At 36.9% G+C, this 16,055-nt stretch overlaps 1 protein-coding gene across 5 annotated transcripts in view; it reads right to left on the bottom strand.

Annotated features, from left to right (window-relative positions):
* The window catches only part of LUZP2 (leucine zipper protein 2), a 585,586-nt gene that overhangs the window by 173,476 nt on the left and 396,055 nt on the right, over nucleotides 1-16,055 (bottom strand). For 4 of the 5 annotated variants that reach the window (NM_001009909.4, NM_001252008.2, XM_047426868.1 and 1 more), the window contains exon 6: nucleotides 3,110-3,172. The exons of the other annotated variant lie outside the window; for it this stretch is intronic. In NM_001009909.4, the coding sequence (NP_001009909.2) occupies nucleotides 3,110-3,172 (63 nt within the window). The remainder of the gene's footprint in view (nucleotides 1-3,109; nucleotides 3,173-16,055) is intronic. 5 annotated transcript variants of the gene reach the window in all.

Here is a 16,055-nt window from a genome sequence, read left to right as displayed (position 1 = left end):
TATATATATATATTTTTAAAAAATGTTTTAGGGGTTTTCCTCACAGTTACTCATCTCTTTGTTTCTAGCACTCTTGTAATTTTCAGTTAAAAGCAAAATCCTGGCTGGGTGCGGTGGCTCATGCCTGTAATCCCAGCACTTTGGGAGGCCGAGGCAGGTGGATCACGAGGTCAGGAGATCAAGACCATCCTGGCTAACACAGTGAAACCCTGTCTCTACTAAAAATACAAAAAATTAGCTGGGTGTGGTGGCGGGCTAATAGTCCGATAGTCCCAGCTACTCAGGAGGCTGACGCAGAAGAATGGCATGAACCTGGGAGGTGGAGCTTGCAGTGAGCCTAGATCGTGCCACTGCACTCCAGCCTGGGCAACAGAGGGAGACTCAGTCTCAAAAAAAAAAAAAAAGAAAAAAAACAAACAACAAAAAAAGCAACTTCCTGTCTGAGGATTTCAGGAAAGATTATGCAAAGAATAAATGCATTCTGAGTGGGTACATCTCTTTTTTATAATATATATTAATTCAAAACCCAGCTAACACTTAGATCGTTTTATTTAACTTGTTAGCAACATTTTGAAAAGCTAAAATTATCAAAAGGATAACCTTCAAACAATTAGTGATTTTAAATACAGTTCCAGATGTTGGTGACTGTGAGTCATAAAGTTTTCATAAGAAGATTTCACGGCAAAATTAAAGTTGCTAATAATGATAACATTGTCTATATAAAAAGACAAGGACGATGAAAAAGTAGGCAGCCATGATAGGATATTTTAGCTCAGCTTTTTTATCCCATTCAGGAGATTATCTTTCAGTCTGAGATTTTTGCTTCTTATAATTTCATGTTCAAACAGCATTTCTTTGATAAAATAGGAGTGATGATTTTGGTAGATGGTGTTTATAGTAGCTTCCCTTGTGAATATTATCCTCTGGCAAATTAAAACAATGGCAATCTTCTGGGTGTCAATGGGATTTAGATATTTTATTCTATGAATACTGACAGTTGAGGGTCACTGATCTAACAGGCAATCTCCATTTTAGCTCCTAACCAAGAAAATATATTAGTATTTTGTTTTTGGTAGTGATGGTGAATCAAATAATTAAATTTGCCACCATATTGTTTTGAAATTGTATTGTGACAGACAAAAACACATGCCTGCCCCATTACCGAGAATGTTAAGCTCTAAATTTATTCCATAAATACATAATGACATACAGCAAATAAATTGCAATGAACCTATTACAATACATTTCAATAGTAGGCATGACAATACATTTCAATATTAGGCAACACTAATACATGAAGTATCTAACAATTCAGGGATAATATATTCTCAAAGGCATTGAGATGAAGAAAAAATACGAATTATTCTTGAACTGACAGACTAAACAATAAAGGTAAGCCCATTTTTACTTCTGTGCACCACAGATATTTCTCATAGGAGCTTCCTCTCTTTCATATACATGAGTGTCATGTGAACCCTGAACACATATAAATCATATCAGAATATAACTTCAATCTAGATATTTCTTATTCAAAACATCATTCTACCTTGTTACCCTCTTGTAAGTAATACTCACAACCTGCACAAACCACATTTATACTATTTCCAAAACCTAGGAAATATAAACAATGTACAAGTCTATTTGTATTCAAATAGAAAAATACAAAGAAATGAAATGCTACACTAGATCAGATCTACAAACCATTTAGGCTAATTTTTCATCCTATGGAACATCATCTTTTAGTTTTTGTGTATTAAACACTTCTATTCATGCCATATATAATATTATAGGAAAGATATTATAAAATGGATTGTTACATTGCATGTTATTTTGTATTTGTGTTAATGTTTTTTTTTTTTTTTTGTATTTGTGTTAATGATTTTTTCTTGTTTTTCAAGGAGAGTTTTCACCTTCTTTAACAAATCTTAGTTTGGGCTGGACACAGGACCACTGACCTAGTGACATTTTCCAGACTCGCTTCAACTTAGCTCAGCATGTGAGCTAGTTTTAGCAAATAGGGTACAATGAGATAGAAGAGACTATTTCCTGGGTGGACTCCTGAGAAGCAACGCTTGTGCTTCACCAGGTTATCTTCCCTTTCCTTCCTGCTGGAAGAGGATAGTGGCAGAAAAAGATATTTTTGAATCAGTGGTCATGCCATAATTTAAAGACAATAGAGCTGTTTTAGAAACTCTTCGCCTTACTTCTAGACAACTCTGAGACAAAGGGTAAACTTGTTTTAACTTGTGTAAGCAACTTTTCTCATTGCAGCTAAACTTCCTTCCTTCCCTCTACATCTTAGGTATAAGACATTCATCATGATATGAAGCCACTCATGACTGTCCCTTATCATTCATAAGCTATTTCTTGAATATATTTCTCGCACATTTAATATATCTTAGTGTGTGCTTCTTGGAGGATGCAGCTAAAACAGTGACTCTTGTCTCCTCTCCTTGAGTCATAAACAATCACTTATCATGACAGTATCATTCCTATTTCATTGATATTACTAAGGCTTCTATGAGCTACATTTTCACATTACAGAGTCATAAGAATAGACTTGGAGATGAGAAATATAGAAAAATGATTATTTTAGTTAAATCTATGTTAAGCAGAATGACATTTCCCCCTGAGAAATATATGAGACAATTTTACTACACAGCAAATAGAACCAATGAGTGTATTGATTTTGTATGGTTTATGGACAAGCCCGGAATCTTCACTCTGACAGTCACTTGCCACTGCAAAACTTTGTAGACATCACATAGAAAGTACAAGAGAGGGGAAAAAAAAAAGGAAATTTTATGGACTCCCAGTAATTTGCTATTAAGGAAGTTCTGATAGTCCAGATAAGGAAGAAATCCAGAAAAAAAAAAATCTACAAAGGTGATCATTACCTGCCTTTGTTAATTTTTTTTTTTCCTTTTGGCTATTGCAATGTTAAAACACAAAGATACCAAAAGGTTTAAAATATATTATATTTTTCTATTTAAAAATTGGCATTTGTATTAGGAGGAAAAAGAGTTACCAGATGTCTGAGTTGAACAAAAATCTGACAATAATACTGTTTTTATCTGGTTAAAGCTAGAAGAAGCAAAAATTTACTCACCTCTTCTGCGTGAATGCCACAGAGCTTGTTTCCTGACAAGAGTTTGTTTTTCAAGCTTTTATTCTGAGGAAGAAAACATAGTTTTATTGCAAAGAAGAGACAAAATATTAAGAATTCCTTCAACTATGTCAACATTATTGCTTTATGTTCTGTTCAAAAATTAGACCTTCATGATGTAAAATGTAATGGATTGGTGTAAAACTGAATCAAATCTGTAAAGTAAAAGATTGTTTTTTATTCAATTAAAATTTGGCATATTAGCATTAACACATTCATTTAAAAAGGTAATTTCTAGTTTTATTCTATTGTGGGGAGAAAAGATAATTGATATGATTTCGTTTTTGAAAAAAAAAGTTAATTTAATTTTGTGCGTGGGTGTTTGCGTCCTAAAATACAGTCTATACTGGAGAACTTTCCATGTGTATGCTATAGCTGTTGGGCAAAATGTTCTGTCAATGTCCATGAGGTCCATTTGGTCTAGAGCGCAGTTTAACTCTGATATTTCTTTTTTTTTATTTATTTTTTTTGAGCGAAGTTTCACTCCGTTGTCCTGGCTGGAGTGCAATGGTATGATCTCAGCTCCCTGCAACCTCTGCCTTCCAGGTTGAAGCTATTCTCCTGCCTCAGCCTCTCAGGTAGCTGGGATTACAGATGTGCACCACCATGCCTGGCTAATTTTTTTTGTATTTTAAGTAGAGATGAGGTTTCGCCATGTTGGCCAGGCTGGTCTTGAACTCTGACCTCAGGTGATCGGCCTGCCTCGGCCTCACAAAGTGCTGGGATTACAGGTATCAGCCACCGCACCTGGCCTTACTCTGATGTTTCTTTGTTCATTTTTTGTTTGGATAACATGTCTAGTTCTGAAAGTGGGGTATTAAAGTACCCTACTATTCTTACATCACAACAAATATCTCCATTTAGATCTGTTATTATATATATACATATAAAGGTGCTCCAGTGTAGGATGCATATGTAATTGCAATTGTTATATTCTCCTACTGTAATGACCCTGTTATCATTATATAATGGACTTATTTGTCATTTTTTAAATCATTTTTTACTGAAAGTCTAATTTTTCTGATGTAAGCATAGCTACTTCTAATCTGTTTTGGTTTCCATTTGCATGGAATATCTTTTTCCATCCCTTCACTTTCAGTCTATGCATGTCTTTATAGGTGAAACAAGTTTCTTATAAGCAGCATATATTTGAGTCTTTTTTTAGTCCATTTAACCACTTTATATACTTTAATTAGATAATTTAGTTTATTTATAGTCAAGGTTATTATTGATAGGTAAGGATTTACTACTTCTGCACAGCAGAAGAAAACAATACAGTGAAGAGACAAGCTGAAGGATGGGAGAACGTATTTGCAAACTACTCAGCTGACAAAGGTTACTATCTAGAACAAACCAAGAACACAAATCAAAAGCAAAAAGCAAATAATATGATTTATCAAAAATTGGCAAAATAGGTCGGGCGTGGTGGCTCATGCCTGTAATCCCAGCACTTTGGGAGGCTGAGGCGGGTGGATCACGAGGTCAGGAGATCAAGACCATCCTGGCTAACACAGTGAAACCCCGTCTCTACTAAAAATACAAAAAAATTAGCCGGGCGTGGTGGTGGGTGCCTGCAGTCCCAGCTACTCGGGAGGCTGAGGCAGGAGAATGGTGTGAACCCAGGAGGCAGAGCTTGCAGTGAGCCGAGATCACGGCACTGCACTCCAGCCTGGGTGGCAGAGCAAGACTCTGTCTGAAAAAAAAAATGGCAAACTATCTGAATAAACATTTCTCACAGGAAGACAAACAAATGCCAATAGATATACTAAAAATGTTAAACATTACTAATCGTCAGGAAAATGCAATGAAATATTACCACACTCAGATTAGGATGGTTATTATCAAAAGGCAAAAAATAACAAGTACTGATGAGGATGTGGAGAAAGGGGAACTCTTATGCACAGTTGCTGGGAATGTAAATTAGTACAGCCATTACGGAAAACAGTATGGAAGTGTCTCAAAAAATTAAAAATTGATTACTATGTAATCCAGCAACCCCATTACTGGATATATATCAAAAATAAATGAAATCAGTATGTTGAACTCCTTGATTCTCAGAAGCCATTTCTTCTTCCAGGCCTGAGAGGTATACTCTTTCTGAATGAGTATACACAGATCTGTTACCCTTTAAATATCTCATAATTGACCTAGTTCAAAGGCAAATGTTTGTCCCTTTGACACTTATTAACCATCTGAGTCCAACCCCTCGTGGCTATTTAATTATATCTGGCTTATTGCACTCAGGCTTTTCTGTCTTTTACTGCAATAGCTGAAGTACATAGACTGTCTTTAGATGGGCAGGCTAAAGGAGAGCAGATAACCAAAACACACAGGATTCAGACATCATACTGACTCTAGAGGAGTGGACAGTGTCCTGGTACAAGTACATATTATACGCAATAACTCCAAGGAGGGCCAATTGGATAAGCACCAGGAGCAAAATGAACATTTAATGCAGAGTGAATGAACAGATACATCAAGTTTAAGAGTTCCCCACTTAGAATTCCAAGCTAATTTTGAACAGGGTTTTTTATTTTGTTTTCCTATCATGGAGTGAGGGGGTACAGTTGTCCCAGTCTGAAAGAATACTTGTTTTTTTCCTCTTTAGCTAAAATTTGGAAATCTAAAAAGCTCAGTTAGAATTTCAATACCATGAAATGTTTTACACAAATGGGAGGAAGTTATTCTGATTTGTTCAAGTAATGTATTTTTGCAAATATTTGCACTGATCATGCAAGGTACAATATTAGGGTTCTTTTTTTAAAAAGAATCTGATATACATTAATTCCATATTTGAAGAGATGTGTATCCCCAATAAAGGGATGTACACTGATATGTTCTGGCTCTGCAATGTTGCTCAGGTTGTAGCAAAATAAAACTCTTCAAAATGGAGACAAAATAGGGGATGTACATTTGATAGGAGTATTTATGTCCTGCCAAAACCACTCACACCTAAGAAACATTATTAGAATTAAGAAATAACTATGAATTAATAAACAGCGTATTTAAAAGTTGGTGTCTGTAGTATATACTATTTAAAATTTGCATCTCCACTTAAAGCTATTTTTTCTTTCTTCTGTTCATTTATGTATCTATGTTTGTATTCATTTATTTTTGTTATTATTATTTGTTCACTTATTAATGCTGCTAACACTAAGGGGAAATTTTGAATGTTGATCTGAATGATATAAATTATAGCAAATACTAACTTTTATCCTTCAAAAATGATATTATTTTATATTTTTTCTGAGGAAACATAGATGATAATTAATATACACAACAAAAGACTAATTTTTAGCATACTATTTATTTCATTGACCTGTTTTCTCTGCTTCTCACACTGATTTCTCAGAATAGACTATTCCTTAATTACTTGGAGTAGGCTTTTCAATGATCAGGATCTGTCTGTCAAGTTTATAGAGTAGCAAGCAGTGCTAAACATTCCACACCATTAGTGAAGCTAGAGTTTTGATAAAGATGTTCCATAGAACCATTTAACTTTCTTTAATAATATTTACTCTCCACTCCCCCAAAAAAGATTAATGCTACGATAATATGAGTGGAACAATGTTGAAAAAGATTTATTTTCTCCGGATTTCTCAGAGTCTTTATTAGAATATTGTGCTTCATGGACACAAAGAGGGGAACAACAGACACTGGGTTTTACCTGAGTGTTGAGGGTGGGAGGAGGGAGAGGATCAGAAAAAATAACTATTGGGTACAAGGCTTAGTACCTGGGTGCCAAAATAATCTGTACAACAAACCTCTATGACATGAGTTTACCAGTTTATTTTTATAAAAAACCTGCACATGTACCCCTGAACATGTACTCGTGAACCTAATTACTATTATTAGATGTTTTGATAATAATAAAATTGTGTTTAATGTAAATGATTTTCCTAAATTTGATTGACAATAAAACCCTTTGGACTAAATAACTTTTCTCATTACTAGAATTTGACAAATAAAGCGGCAAATATTAACCTATGTTTGATTTATTAAGGGAGACCAAAATATTACACTGCTATATTTTACTGAAGTTCTGTTTATCATGTTTACTTGTAAAATGATAAGAAAGATTTGATTCAGGACTTTTGAAACAAATGTCAAAGCTATTGAAATAAGGGAGAGAGATGGGACTCGACTCTAAATATAGCAAAAATATAGCAAAGACAGCTGGGGATTTATAGCCAATGAGCAGAATTATGGAGGTCAATGGATAGAAAACTACTAATGGGAGCTATCACGGGTAGAGGGATTCTTGCTAAACCTGCCTAATAGAATCCTTTCTGAAAGCCACTTGATCAGGTTTAGATATCAAGGGTGGGGAGTCTCCCTAAACTGACTTAGCTACAACTGGACTAGGCAAGTCTAAGACAAGACCTGAGGAAAAGGCCCATTTGAAGAGCGAACTCAGAGGAGTCTGTCTAAAGTTTGGTCAAGAAGTTTTTGGGAATAATGCTTTCTGTGCCCTAAGAAATGTTTGCCTACTTCAAAGTCATGAAGAATTTTTTCTCAAATAGTTTTCTTAAAGTTTTATAGTTTTGGTGTATATTCTTTTCTATAATCCTCTTCAAGTTACCTTTTTTTTTTTTTAATGAAGTGAGGTAAGGGTCAAAGTTCACTTTTAGTTTTCATTGCAAACATCCAGTTACTTGTGCACCAATTGTTGAAGAAATGCTCCTTTGTACATTGAAATATCTAAGTGCCTTTGTCAAAAATCAATTGAGAAAATAACTCCTTTGGCCAATATGAAGCATCTGGCCTCAGACAAGCCCTCTTGCCATAAACAACTAGATGACTAGACAGAATATAATAAAACAAATGTTTAAGACAGTAGACAGCCACTACTGCCAGACTGTCGTACTAAAGAGAGGAGAAATAGGCAAGAAATCCCTGCAGTTGCTCTTTTTTGTTTTTGTTCTGTTTTGTTTTTATCTGGAGACAATTTATGAAGTACCATATGGAAGAAAAACCCAAGCAGACCACAGAAGTTTTGATTAGTTGAGAAAAAAAGAGTTTAACATTAGAGAAAGGTGATCAGGTATAATTTATGTTACAAAACAGCAGAGGCTTCAAAGCTGTTAAAGGGAAAATCTTAGACAAATTAAATTTAACAGTTTGAGCAAAGAATGATTTGCAAATCAGGCAGCCCCTTAACCAGACTAAGTTCAGAGACACTCCATTGCAGCTATGCGATCAAAGATTTATGGACAGAAAAAGCAAAATGACATACAGAAAATGAAAGTGAGGTACAAAAACAGCTCCTCTGGTTACAGCTCGGTGTTTGCTGTGTTTGAACATGGTTTTAACAGTCGACTTCTCTTCACTGGCAAAAACTCAGTGGCTGGCACAAGTGTAGGATACAGTCTGCTTAACATATCAGCTAGGTTACACTTCACTATGTATAGAGAAACCTTTAGGCCAAACTTAAAATGTGTAAGGAGGCAACTTTGGGCTGAACTTAATTTAAGAATGCAATGCAGAAAAAGAGTACACAGGATTTTCAGGGATGTTCCCTTATGTCTTTAGATGAATGGAAATCTGCATATACATAAACAAACATGCTGCAAGGTCAGCTAAAGAACCACCAGAAAAGAACTGCAAGGTGAAAAATTACTAGAGCTCACCTAGACATTCAATTTCCAACAAGCCAGAATGGAAAGACTTAACCACTAAGATATTTAATAAAAACCCTAGAAAGGCCTGTCTTACAAGCAAGGCCAAAACAGTCCTGTAAAGTCTCATTTAGACCAACCTTATAAAGCTTAAAAACAAAACTCAAAATAACCAAGCTAAACAATTATTATCTACTAGAATGTAATACTCTTAGAAGATAACAAAATCCTGGTGCCCAATAATGTAATATCTACAATTCAGTATACATTCGAAATCATTAAACACAAGAATCAGGAAAATGAGAGCCTTAAGACAAAGGAGGAGGAAATCAGTCAATAGACATAGCTATCATTGGCAAAGATGGTGAAGTTCATTTAGAAATAACATTAAATATATATAACAAAAGAGACTTTCATTTTCAGCATTGACATATAAAGAACTTGAAAGTCATTAGAATTCCAATTTCTACATCTTCTCTGAGTTTTCTCTTTGTTCTATCTATTAGCTTGAAAGGAGTATTAAAATATCCCAAAGTCATTGTGGATTTGTCTATTCCTTTAAGTCTGTCAGTTATTGCTTCATGAAATTTGAAGCTCTTTTAGGTGCTTACAAATTTAAGAATTGTTATGTCTTTTAGAATAAAGGATTGCCCCTTTTAACATTATAATATGCCTCTCTTTCTCTCTGGTAATTTATTTTGTCATGGCTAATTTATCTGATGTGAGACACGCTAAAGCCTTTTCTCTTGCAGTTTGCATAGCATATATTTTCATATTTTACTTTCATCTTTCTTGAGACTTTGTATATAAAGTGCATTTTTAAATAATTGTCAAGTATAATTTGATTGTATATTTTTATATAGTCTGGCGATATCTTTCTCTCAATTAAAGTATTTACATGTAATTTAATATAATCAATATATAATCAGGTTTTGTTTACAACCTCACAGTTTTTTTTTTACCTTCTTGTTTTTCTAGAGTCTAGTATATTTAGAAGTCTATTTAGAATTGATATTGTACCACTTCAAATGTAGGAAGTGGTACAATATCAACTCAAATATCCTACATTTGAAACAAAAGATCACACTCTGCCATACATAATTACTAAATCACACGCTATAAGATATATAATAAATCTGAAGATGAGCGAACCATTATAAAATTATAAAAGACACATAATTTGGTGTAAATGAATCAAAAAAGGTATCCCTGATGAGGTCATTACACATGATATATAAATGCAAGTGAATAAGTTTAGAAATTTCTAAATTTTTCAATCATCCAACGTATGAAAATTTGATAGTTTATTACATCACTGTATCTAGTTTAGATAAAGTGAAAGAAAATTGCCAATATGCGTATGTTATTTTCAGAGAAAAATAAGTTAGTAAAACTACCAATCTCTTAAACAGGTAGAAAAGAATCTTTTGTTTGTTTGTATTCTGTCTCAGGAAATGATGTGATGTCTCTTAACTCAGAGTTTATTTTTAACATTGGTCCCATCTAATAGAACACTGTACTATTCTGCCTTCATTTGCCACCTACTCTTTCCAGTCCATTTCCAGGTACCTCACAAGGGTTTTTGGCATTCACCCCAAAAACGCTAGCAAATAAAAATTTGTAGTATTCATATGAGACTAGAAATGTCTTTTAAAAATCTTATTTTTTACACAAGAAATTGTCACGTTTTATATGTATATGCGCACCACTCTGACCCACCCTGGTTTTAAACTCTTGTTTTTTTTTTTTTCTTCCTGACACAGAGTCTTGCTCTGTCGCACAGGCTGGAGTACAGTGGCACGATCTGGGCTCACTGTAAGCTCTGCTTCCCAAGTTCATGCCATTCTCCTGCCTCAGGCTCCCGCGTAGCGGGACTACAGGCGCCCACCACCACGCCCAGCTAATTTTTTGTATTTTTAGTAGAGACGGGGTTTCACCGTGTTAGTCAGGATGGTCTTGATCTCCTGACCTTGTGATCTGCCCACCTCGGCCTCCCAAAATGCTAGAATTATAGGCATGAGCCACCGCGCCCGGCCTTAAACTCATTTTTTAAAGATGATGTTACTGCTATTTGGCCAGATTACCTGAAAACAGATACAAGGATCTGACATACTTACCTGATTTTTTTTTTTATAATTGTCACTCATAAACTGGATGTCTTAGATATGCTTTACTCTTCCAATTTATGTAAGTTCTTACGTTTCTCTTCATGGATATTTTCTCACAGATATACCAAATATAAAAGTGTATGAATAGGAGTTGTACAATTTTGAAAATACATTCCAGTTTTTTTCTTCTCAATAGCAGAATCTCCTAGATCCATTCAACTATATGTTACTAGGCATCTGTTAAAACTGAACATATTTATATATAAATGCATATCATAGTGTACTATACAAATTTCAACTGCCAATGTATTTTTTTCTGAATTGCAAATTTCACTATGTTATTCTCTTCCAGAAAGCGTAGGAATCCATGTTAAAGGCAAGGCAAAAGGAAGAGGACAAAGATGAAAATCTCCTTGAGAATCCATAAGTAAATCAATTGAGCAAGCAAAAAATAAATAACCCCATTAAAAAAAGGACAAAAACATAAACAAACTATTTTCCCAACAAGTCATACAAGCAACCAACAATCATATTGTGTCCGAAATTGGTGGGTTCTTGGTCTCACTGACTTCAAGAAGGAAGCCACAGTCGCTCACAGTGAGTGTTACAATTCTTAAATATGTGTGTCCAGAGTTTGTTCCTTCTGATGTTCGGACATGGTCAGAGTTTCTTCCTTCTGGTGGGTTCCTGGTCTCCCTGGCTTCAGGAGTGAAACTGCAGACCTTCGCGGTGAGTGTTACAGCTCTTAATGCAGCGCCTCGGGAGTTGTTTGTTCCTCCCGTCCAGAGTTGTTCATTCCTCCCGGTGGGTTCATGGTTTCGCTGGCCTCAGAAGTTAAGCTGTGGACCTTCGCAATGAGTGTTACAGCTCATAAAAACAACGCAGACCCAAAGAAAGAGCAGAACAAGATTTATTGCAAAGAGCAAAACAACAAAGCTTCCACAGAGGCGGGTTGCTACTACTGGCTCCTGCAGCCTGCTTTTATTCCCTTTTCTGACCCCACCTGCATCCTGCTGATTGGCCCATTTTACAGAGAGCTGATTGGCCCATTTTACGGAGTGCTGATTGGTCCGTTTTGACAGAGTGTGATTGGTGTGTTTACAATCCCTGAGCTAGACACAGAGTGCTGATTGGTGTATTTACAATCCTCTAGCCAGAGGTAAAAGTTCTCCAAGTCCCCACTAGGTTAACTAGACACAGAGCACTGATTGGTGTGTTTACAAATCTTGAGCTAGACACAGGGTGATGATTGGTGCGTTTACACACCTTGAGCTAGACACAGAGTATTGATTGGTGCATTTACAAACCTTGAGCTAGACACAGAGTGCTGATTGGTGTATTTACAATCCTTTAGCGAGACATAAAATTTCTCCAAGTCCCCACCAGATTAGCTAGATACAGAGTGCTGATTGGTGCGTTTACAAACCTTCAGCTAGACACAGAGTGCTGATTGGTGCATATACAATCCTCCAGCTAGCCACAAAAGTTCTCCAAGTTCCCACCCAACTCAAGAGCCCAGCTGGCTTCCCCTAGTGGATCCCGTGCCGGGGCCACCGGTGGAGCTGCCCACCAGTCCCGTAGGGTGCACCCGCACTCCTCAACCCTTGGGCGGTCCATGGGACCAGGCACCGGGGAGCAGGGGGCAGCGCCTGTCAGGGAGGCTGGGGCCATGCGGTATCCCATGGGGGGAGGCGGGGTGAGGAGGCTGGGGCATGGGAGGCTGCAGGTCCTGAGCCCTGCCCCCTGGGGCAGTGGCTGAGGCCTGGCGAGAATTTGAGCGCAGCATGGGTGGGCCGGTGGTGCTGGGGACCCGGCGCCCCCTCTGCAGCTGCTGGCCCAGGTGCTAAGCCCCTCACTGCCTGGAGCTGGCATCGCCGGCCGGCTGGCTGCTCCAAGTGTGGGGACCGCTGAGGCCCCGCCCACCCAGAACTCACTGTGGCCCGCAATTGCCCTGCACAGCCCCGGTTCTGGCGGCGCCTCTCCCTCCACACCTCCCTGCAAGCAGAGGGAGCTGGCTCCGGCCTCGGCCAGCCCACAGAGGGGCCCCCACAGTGCAGTGGCGGACTGAAGGGCTCCTCGAGCGTGGTCAGAGAGGAAGCCTAGGACGAGGAGGAACCGAAGGCCAGCCAGGGCTGCTAGCACGTTGTCATCTCTCAATATGGAGAAAATGTTCAACATCACTAATCTTCAGAGAAATGCAAATCAAAATCACAATGAGATCTCATTTCACACCAGTCAGAATTGCTGTAGTTAAATAGTCAAAAAACAACAGATGCTGATAAGGGTGTGGAGAAAAGGGAACACTTATACAGTATTGGTGGGAACGTAAATTGGTGAAGCCACCATGGAAAGCAGTTTGAAGATTTCTCAAAGAACTTAAAAGGGAACTACCGTTCAACTCAGCAATCCCATTACTGCCCAAAGATCCAAAAAAAGAAAACAAATATTTCTACCAAAAGACACATGCACTCACATGTTCATTGCCCCACATTAGCAAAGACATGGCATCATCTTAGGTGCCCAACAATGGTGGATGTGGTACATATACACCATGGAATACTATGCAACCCTAAAAAGAAGGAAGTCTTGTCCTTTGCAGCAAAATAGATGCAACTGGATATTGTTATCCTAAACAAACACAGGAACAGAAAATCAAATACCACATATTCTCACTTATAAATGGGAGCTAAATATTGTGTACTCATGGATATACAGATGGCAACAATGGAAAATGAGGACTACAAGAGTGGGGAGTGAGGGAGGCAGGCAAGGGTTTAAAGACTCTTAGGTACGATACTCAGTACCTGGGTGATAGCATTCATGCTCCAAACCTCAGAATCATGAGGTATATGCAGGAAACACACCTACACATGCACCCCCTGAATCTAAAAGATGAAAAAAAGGATAAATTAAAAAAAAAGTTCTGTTTGTTTTTCTTGCAGTTTTTTTATATATATATACTCATTCCTTAAGTTTTTATCCTCTTGTTCTTCCTCTAGCTTGGCTCCCACTTGCTGGGTTCTTCCAAGAGCGAATTTTCTAGCCTACTCTAAGGTTCACTGTAACTCAACCTACTTAGCACATTTGTTTCAGGGTAAACTTCCTAAACTTCCTAAAATATGGTGAGAATCTTATGCCACCCCACGGAAAATCTGTCATGGAGTTTTATAAATTACAAACAGACTGACTTTCAAGGGATTAAAAATTTGAGAATCTCTCACCAGTCTAATGTCTTGCCTATATAAAAAATTTGCTGTAACCAAGTTAGATTGGTTATTTTTTCCTAAGTCCCAGGAACTTGACTTGAACTAGCCATTATCCTAGTTTGTGTTTTCTCCTCCTCATTTTCTATGTGTCTAATAACTATTTTGATTGTAGTGACTGTTTGCTTCTGAAAGTTTTTTGTGATCTCCCTATTTATTCTAATAGGCATCCCGTTCTCAATTGCCCCCAGTTAACCTATCATACATAAAGTCTAGAGGGTATAATTTGTTTTAAATGGAAAGATTCATTCTTTAGAAAGCTCCAAAGTGCTTTCCACAGTGGCTAAATGGAACAGGAAACCAAATGACACGTTGTCGTGTATAAGAGGGAGTTAAACATTGAATACTCATAGACATAAAGATAAGGATAATAGATACCAGGGACTATTAGATAGGGGAGGAAGGGAGTTAGACATGGGCTGAAAAAAAAAAAAACTACTGGGTACTATGCTCACCTTCAGCATCACACAATATACCCATACAACACATCTGTACAAGTACCCTTTAATCTATAATAAAAGTTGAAATTATCTGGCCGGGCACGGTGGCTCATGCCTGTAATCCCAACACTTTGGGAGGCCGAGGCGGGTGAATCACTTGAGGTCAGGAATTCGATACCAGGCTGACTAACATGGTGAAATCCCATCTCTACTAAAAATACAAAAATTAGCCGGGCGTGGTGGCAGGCACCTGTAAGCCCAGCTACTCCGGAGGCTGAGGAAGGAGAATTGCTTGAACCCGGGAGGCGGAGGTTGTAGTGAGTCAAGACCATGTCATTGCACTCCAGCCTGGGTAACAAGAATGAAACTCCATCACAAAAAAAAAAAAAAAATGAATTACTTTAGAAAAGATTCGTTAAAAATATTTATTTATTCATGCATATTCTATTCACTCATAGATATTCATTGACTTCTCTGTGCTAGACTCAGTGTTAGATCTTGAGAATACAAATATAAAACAGGAGTTATCTGCTTTCAAAGAACTCACCTTCTGAGTTAGAGTGGGCTACAGATATGAAAATAAACAATTGAAACACAGAATGTACAATCAAAATTATATAGCTACCAAAAATCTCTACTAATTGTAAAGCAGGTTTATAATTAGTCTCCTGGATGGATGCTCATATTAAATTGTTCTTAGAGGAAAACAATTTGCAGGGAAATGTCTAAAACTATGATCAAAATTGTAAAAAATAATAAACCATGTGCGTGTGTGTGTGTGTGTGTGTGTGTGTGCGTGTGTATTTGTGCATGTGTTTGTGTGTCAGCATGAAATTGGATGGAAATGAAAAAAGTATATGCCAGGCCTTTAAAGAAGTATTGTAATATTAACTGAAAATATGGAAAATAAAACGCTTTCCATATTCTGAGTCCAAATGTGTAAAGTTTAAATGTGTATATTTAAAACTAGGAGACAAGATAAGCAGATAAAAACCTTCATGCTATTAGGTGATATATTATGTGTAGTCTTCTCCAAGGATCTCTGTTGTTATTTTAATAAAATTTAATATCCCTAAAGAGTTTTCTATGCAAAATAGCATAATAAAAGTGGTATTATAGGGTGTGAATGTATGTGTGTATGTGTGCATGTGTATAGAAATACTCTACAGAATTTCTGAGCACTGAGTTTTGCTACTTTTGTTTTTTTCTGTGTGTTTTGATTTTTTTTTTGCTGTTTATATTCTGTTCCTTCTTCTTCATCTAAACAAAAAATCGAATCTGTCTGATTTTTCTGTGTGTCCAGTGCTGAAAACATTATTCAACTTGTAGTTATTATTTAATGAATGTGAATGAATAGCATTCATGAACGAATAAATGAATAAATGCCTGATAATGAGTATTATGTTATTGCTGAGGATTAAGCTGGCAATCCATTGTCTCTGTGACATTATTGTGACTAT

The sequence above is a fragment of the Homo sapiens genome, chromosome 11 (assembly GCF_000001405.40).
Source record: "Homo sapiens chromosome 11, GRCh38.p14 Primary Assembly".
Classification (NCBI taxonomy): Eukaryota; Metazoa; Chordata; class Mammalia; order Primates; family Hominidae; genus Homo; species Homo sapiens.
This window is presented reverse-complemented; position numbering and strand designations above follow the sequence as displayed.